Genomic DNA, 7,912 nt, shown 5'->3' on the forward strand with positions numbered 1-7,912 from the left:
TGCCATTCTCCTGCCTCAGCCTCCCGAGTAGCTGGGACTACAGGCGGCCACCACCACGTCTGGCTAACTTTTTTTTTTTTTGTATTTTTAATAGAGGTGGAGTTTCACCGTGTTAGCCAGGATGATCTCGATCTCCTGACCTCGTGATCTGCCCACCTTGGCCTTGAATGTTTATTTTAAATCAGTATTACATTGTTATTAACAATGTTTCTTCATTTATTTAAATGATCTCTCTCCTTCCTCTCCTTTCTCTCACCATTGATATTTTGAATAAATAAATAATGGTCTGAATAAATAATGGTAATGCTTAAATTATGCAAAAAAAATAGAACTCAAATAACGGGCAATAGCAGCATGCAAATTAGGAAGGGAAATTGGTTTTAAAGTCTTTGTATTGTTCAGCATGGTGGTTGCAAAAGTTTAAGATATTAATAAACTTTAAAATTTGTTAAGTGTGCATGGCAAAAGTTCAAGGTTAACCACTAACAGAAAAATAAAATAGTTTATAACTTCCAAATAAGAGAGAAAAGACAGAATGAGGAAACAACAAACTCAATATATTCAAACAAAGGCAAGAAAAGAGAAAAAAATAAGAGAAGAAAATAAGATACAGACAATTTTAAACAACACTATTAAAAGCTTTATTTAAAAGGCATAGGTAGAACCCTATTATCAAAAATTAAAGAATAAGAAAAGAAGTGATTGAAGTGATGGATATCTCACTTCCCCTGATTTGATAATTATACATGTATCATGTCAAAATGTCATATGTAACACAAAAATATATACAACTATAATATATCAGTCCTTTAAAAAAGATTTTTTGTAACAATTAAAGAATGAATATGCATCCTTCTTAAGCACACACAGAATATTTTTTAAATTCCACATATTAATCTATAATGCAATCATCAGGAAAATTCAAAGAATTGGTAAAAATACAGACCATATTTTCTTACCATGTTGGAATTAAGTTAGAAGTCAATAATTTAAAATAAATATTTTAAATCTCCAAACATTTGGAAATTTTGAAGTATCTTCTAAATAAATCATAGTTCAAAAAAGTTATAATAAAAATTTTTCATATTTGTAACTAAATAATAATAAAAACACTATATATTGAAACTTGAGAGATATAGCAAAATTAGTGTTCTCAAGAAAAAGTATAGCTGTAATGTATATATTTGAAAATAAGGAAAATCAAAAATTAATAAACTAAGCATCCAACTAAAGGAGTTAATAAAGAATAATAGAATAAACCCAAAGAAAGTAAAAGGAAGGATACACCAAAAAAAAATGACAAAATAAGGAAGCCAATAGAAAAAAAAGACACAATAGAGAAAATCAACAAAACCAGAGACTAATTTTTTTAAAAGAATAATAAAATACACAAACTTCATAGGTGATGAATGTCAATTAGCTTGATGTAATCATTTCAGATTGTACTCGGCTATTATAACATTACATTGTACCCCATAAATATATACAATTGTACTTTTTCAATAAATTTCTGAAAAGGAAAGAATGCACAAATAAGCAATTTAGGAATAAAAATGGAAATAGAGCTTTAGATTCAAGACAGAGTTAAAAGATAATAAGACACTTTTAAAAACTACTCCATGCCAATACATTTGAAAACTTAGACAAAATTGACAAATTCCTAGAGAAACAAAACTTTTCAAAGCTGACTTGAGAGTAAGTGGAAGATCCATAGTCCTATACCCATTACAAAAATGGAATCTTCAGTTAAAAAAAAATCTAACTCCCAACAAGATAACAGATCCAGAGAACGTATATCCATATTCTGCCAAGTCAAGGAATAAATCATTCCTGTTTTTGCTATTTCAGAGAAAGGAAACAGTAGTAATATTTCCTAATGCATTCTATGAACACAAGACGTCTTGATACCAAAAGCAAATTAGGACAGGGCAAGAAAGAGAAAGGCCAGTCTTGCTCATTGTGTAGACATAAAAATCCTGAACAAAAATTAAGCAAATGAAATCCAACCATATATAAGTAAGATTAAGACATCATGGGTTTTTCTCAGGAAATGAAGATGTGACTCAACACTAAAAACTCTGTAATTGACCACATTAAAATATCAATGGTAAGAGAAAGGAGACGAGGGGGAGAGAGATCATCTAAATAAATGCAGAAACATTGTTGATAACAATGTAACACTGATTTAAAATAAACATTCAAGAAAACAAGAAATAGAATGGAACTTCTTTCCTGGATGTCCACTCCAAACCTATTATAGGAAACATAATTCTGAACAATGAAACATTCGAAGCATTCCCTTTACACTCAGATACAAGACAAAGGGGCCACTATCATCACTTTAATGAATAAATACTGGAGATCCTAGCCAGTAAGAGAAGGAAAAGTGATGCCAGGTGTGTAAGCATTGGGAGTTATTTACTTCCACTGCACACCATATACTGTAGACTCTTGCCTAGTCATAGTCATGAGTCTAGTCATTCATACATTAGACTCTTGCCCAGTCTTCAAATATACCACATATTATCATAGCTCCACACTTTCATTTATTCTGCTTCCCCTCGCTGGGATGCCTTTCTTCTGTTCCTTCAAGATGTAGCCTAAATGTCAGCTCCTCTGTGAATCCTACTCCATCAAGGCAGAATAAACCAATCCCTTGTTAAAAATCTTCACAAAGATGATGGCGTAGGAGAGGCTTGGGATTCTCCCGAATAGATTGGTGGGCTTGGGGTTCATCTCATTGTCACCATCACCACTTCCACCTTCACTAATTGTTCTGGCCAAAATTTGCTCATCTCTGAAACTTTAAGTCTCTGCTACAAAAATGAGCTATGCAGCATCCTAATATGTAATATGCCCTTCAACCCAGTGTCAGCTGGACATCTGGGGCAGAGGACACATGGAAGTGCCCAGGCAATGTGACATGGGGTGCAAGTCCCAAGATTTGAATCAGTGTGGTCCCTGCTGAGAGCTGAGCAGGTGTTCCTCCCCTAGATTGCTTCACCAGCCACAGGGCTCTGGTTAGGGGACAAGATTGCACCAAATGTTGGCATTAAAAGTTTCCCTTCATCTCCCCTTTTCCTGAAGCTTATCATGACACACATGTTGAAGCCTGTAAGAAAGAGAAGCTTTGATGCATTGAGATGCAGACACAAACAGATCTCCCCAGAGGGGATTTATGACATAGGCAACTCGAACATGTCTCATAGTGGGGAGGGTTTTCCTTCCCATATCTCTCTTCTGTTCCCACAGTGCTTTCCCACCTGTGAAACAAGGGCCTGGACACAACCAGAGGTTGGTTTCCTCCTAGAAAGTTTACCTCTGAAAATTGGTCAGCTAGATGGATGGGGAAAAAGGGAGTAGGTTCAATCATCAGTTTGCATTCCATTTTCCTGCACCAGAGCCCTGAGAAATGATGGTGGATCTTCACAAAGAAAAGCTGACACCTTCAGGGAAAGTGTTCACCTGTAGCCTTAATGGCCTCTTGCCCACAAATCCAGCAGCCAGCTTCCTACATTGTCTTGGGGTCTCCATGTTCCAATTCTGGGAGAGGGAAAGCAATGAGAAGATGTCATTTATCCAAAATAATTTGTAGGGGACTTTTTTTTTTCCATCTAGCCATCAACGAAAATCATTGACAACCTACTTGTAACTGGCATTGTCCTGGACATCATGAAAAAGTTCAAAGAAGGGCATGGCCCTTCCCTTAGCAGGCTCAAGGACTATCTGGGAGGGTTGGCTGGTGTATCAATCAAGGTTCAATCAGGAAAACACCATGTTTTAGGGATAAGAGATTTCACTAGAATTAAACCTCACATAAATGTGGAAGAAGCTAAAGAAGTGAAGACTTGGAAGGCAAAGTTGGAGGATCTAAGAAGAGTCACCAACTAGACCTCCTCATTCACTGGCACGGTAGAAAATCTGAGCTTGCAGGGAAATCTAAGAAACCAAGGGCGGGCAGCCTCCCCTTGAGACCACAAATGGGGGCTTGTGGAGAGGGGTCAGAGAAGCTGTGCCTCAGTCACATCCACCTCTGTGGGTCCCCACTCTGGTGCTGGGCTTTGAACTGCTATTGGTCAGCGGGCCAGCAGTTTGGAAGAAGGGAATGAAAGCTAGCATACCTGGGAGGCCCGGGCAGCTCTGCATCTCTCACCAGACATGGTCACAATGGATTTCTGAGAGTAATGGTCACCACTTTAGCCCTGCCTTCCAAATTTCACATAGATCTCTGTTAGCCAAGTCTAACCTGGGGAAGGGGATTCAAGGAATGGTGCAGCTCCCCAGTTTGACCAAGTTGAGCCAGAACAATCTCGCACTTTGACCCAGAAAAATCTTAAACAGCTGGCAATGGAAAACAGTTATTGAGTGAAGAGCAAGGCTTGAAGAACCCAGGAAAGAAGGCAGACAGGGTTCATGGAAGCTTCATGAAGGAGATGCAGCTTTAACTGGGCCTCAGAGAAAGAATATGATTTAGGTCAATGGGGAGAGGAGAGAATGTGCAAATATCTCCTGCTTAAACACGCTTCTTCCTGTACTTTGATTTTGGCTTAGAAGTGTATAAACCTTTCACAGGACACTAACAGGAACCAGGAGACCCTGAATCTGGGACAGAGACAAATGAAGAGGCTTCATCTCCTAGGTTTTGACTCTGTCCTTGGGAAAGACTGACCCCATCTCCTGCTGCTCAGACACATGGACTCACCCCAAGTGGAGCAACAGGTTTGTCCAACAGCCAAAGCTTTGCACGCCCATTTGTTTCTGTGTATCCTCGGAGACTGTTTGGCATGCCTGCTCAAGAACAAAAGTCCACTTTAAGAAGAATGAATCCCGTCTGGTTGCTTCTTAAGGACAAATTTTAAAATAAAGACAGCTTTTAAAAACAAGTAGAGCTTTGTTCTTCACTGACCTCAGCAAGATGTCTGTCAACACCTTTGCGTGGTTGCCTGGCTTAGCAGGTCTGATTAACAGTGGCACCTCCCACAGAGAGACAAGTGTGGGGAAGGGACGTGGAACTGGTGAGCTTTTGTTGTGATAGGAGGAAAAGGGCCCACCACCCAAGACATTCCAGCCAGGATCAGGGGCTGGGGTGGTGGCCATGTACCTGCCAGGAGGAGGGGCTGCATAAAGGAGGTTGGTGCTCAGAGGGAGCGGAGGTCAGAAAGGGAGGAAGTGGCAGCTGGTGAAGAAATGGGCTCTCCAAAGGTGAACTACAACCCTTGACAAATAAAGTCAGCACTGTTGGGAAGTATCCCAATGCCTCGGAAGCCTTCAGGTTAGAAAGTTCTTCCAGACATCTGTGTGGCTTAGGAGTATAGAAGAGCTTCCTCTTGTTCCTGTCTCCTTCTAAATTGCATCTCCTCATTTGTGGGAAAGTGAGGAGTTTCCCACAGGTGCAAAGAAACATCACAAGATTTCCTCTAAGCTATCTTTTTATTATTTTTAGGTCCTCTCCTGTAGATGGTCAATGTTTCAATAGCCTGCTTCAGCTGTGGAACACGAAACTGAGAGGAGAGGTTTCCCTTTGCTGACCCCACAGATCTTTACCTTGCAAATGGCATTATATTTTAAGCTTGGTGCTATGTTGCTAACTAAAATGAGAAAATCAATGTTATCATGCTTTTTGAATGGTGCCATGGAATACTGAGGTGTTTTGTGTCCCATTAGGCCACTAACATCTGATTCATTTCCAACTTCAGAAAGAGCCTCACCCCAGTTGCATCCTTGGAAAATCAGTCTTTCCTCCTGATGTCAATGATTTTGGACCAGCTTTCTCATTTTCTTCTTTTTTTAAAGGAAAATTGGGTTTTCATCAAATGGTTCTCCTGTTTTTTCATAAACAAGCAGTCTAAGTTGACTGTCAGACTAGCTGGCACATGGCTGTTTGGAGACACACATGGGTCCCCCTACCCCGGGAGAAATGCAACCCCACAGAGTTCTGTATCTTGCCATTGGCAATGTTGGACCAGGGGCCAGTGTGAGAACCCCACAGATTCCAGCCTCTGGGATGGGGGCTTGTTTTCATGCCAGGGTACATGCCCACACTGCCCCTGAGGACCCAGCCCATGTCATGTCTGCCCGGGGACCTGTCCTACGCCTATGACCCCTGCTGCATCCAGGACCCACCTCACTCACAGGCAGAGTCCCTGCCTCAAATGTAATTTGAATTGTTAGAGGAATGAGAATGTGTCAATTTACAACTACTCGTTGAGTTTGCTCCTTCACCCACTACTGAAGAAAAGAAAAACACTCCTTGGAAAAGTAACTTGCTGAGGTCCTTTTCCAGAATGACTGACAGGTGGGCAGCCTGGGAACATGGTGAGCACATGGGAGGGCACCGTGTCTGCTTCTTTCTGTTCTCAACATCCAATTGGTTCCTCACCAGTCCCAGGCCATTCTCCATAAAGCAGCCAGAATTGTCTTTTGAAAATTCAAGTAGAGGCCAGGCACAGTGGCTCATGCCTGCAATCCCAGCAGTTTGGGAGGCTAAGAAGGGAGGATCAATTGAGGCCAAGAGTTAGAGGCTGCCATGAGCTGGCATCATGCCACTGCACTCCAGCCTGGGAAACAGAGTGAGACCTGGATTCAACAAAAAGAAAACTGTAAGCAGGATTATGTTATTCTCCTGCTAAAACCATCCTGTGGTTTCCCTGTCCTTGGCATAAAAGAAGAGCTTGTTCCCAGGGCCTGCACATGGCTATATGTCCCGGCCCCCAAGCCCACTCCCAACCTCATCCCACCCCAGTCTCCCCCCATCACCTGCCACTGGAGCCTCCTTAACTTCCTTGGGTTCCTCCACCCCATCAAGGCATTTCTCCAGTCGGGCCTCACACATTCTGTCCCCTGCTGGGACCCACCCCTTCCCTTCTCTGTCATTCTGGCTAATGCCACAGCCTTAGAGAGGCACCGCCTGACCCTTGAGCTTTCACCCCTGCCATCGCCAGCAGGGATGACCCCTGATCCCTTCCTTTTCTCGTCTGTGGTGTTTCGTGCCTCTTTTTCATGGAATTTATGGCAACGCTCCATGACATTGGTCTGTGTTTGCCTAGGTATCCAGGCTCTGTCTCTCTCAGTAGAATGGAAGCTTCAAGTGACCAGACATTGTGTCTGTTTTGCCGACCAGGGTTGACCTAGTGCCTAGTACAGCAACTGCCACCTAGGAAGTGCTCAGTAATTCTTTGTGGAGTGAATGAATAAAGGAAAGGACAAGGGGTACAGCCTGGATTCCAGCATCCTGCTCCACCCATGCCATGAGGTGCCCTTGAAGGCCACACTCTTGGCCTCTCCTTCGCAGACTCAGGCCTGGGGTGTGTGGTGATGTCAGCTTCTGTCTACCAGGCCAGAAACCTGCCCTCACCTCCACCCACAAGGAGAAAGTGCAAGAAATCTGAACGTTTTGGAACAGGAAACTCCAACTTTATAAGAGAGCTCTATGTCATGCAGCCGAGGCATTCTGGTGAGAACCACCGACATCGGGCCTGGAGGCCCCAGCAGCGTCTCCTCACTCACATCCCTACTGAGCGACCCAAGGATCCTCGGAAGCAAAAAGACCCTCACGGTCACATGAAGGTCACTGGCAGTCCATTCTAGACTCCCAGGCTCCAGACCCCTGGAACTGTACACTCTGGGAAAGCTTCTCTGTCCCTCTCAGTCAGTCCCTCCCGTCCTGTTATTCGGGTCAGTGCTTCTGATCCCAGGAGAGACATTATTTTTATTTTCCAAGCCATTATTCACAGTAAGCCCTGACTTCAGAATGACTTTTGAGACATAACAATTTAAGATTTAGAACAATATTGATAGAGTCTATACAATGATATTTCCAGGTCCCATTGTGGAAACAATGTTTCCACCATTTCCACTCTAAATATTTCACTTTTGGAACATCACTCCAACAAGAAAACATTAGGCTCGTTGT

At 42.3% G+C, this 7,912-nt stretch overlaps 1 annotated feature.

Annotated features, from left to right (window-relative positions):
• Positions 7,460 to 7,662: a silencer, noted in NCBI's record as "fragment chr6:159914293-159914495 (GRCh37/hg19 assembly coordinates)". NCBI's record gives its function as "represses an EF-1alpha promoter that drives an FKBP-Casp9 reporter gene in an ReSE screen in K562 erythroleukemia cells {active_cell/tissue: K562}" and the evidence as "EXISTENCE:reporter gene assay evidence [ECO:0000049][PMID:32094911]".

The sequence above is a fragment of the Homo sapiens genome, chromosome 6 (assembly GCF_000001405.40).
Source record: "Homo sapiens chromosome 6, GRCh38.p14 Primary Assembly".
NCBI classification, from domain to species: Eukaryota; Metazoa; Chordata; class Mammalia; order Primates; family Hominidae; genus Homo; species Homo sapiens.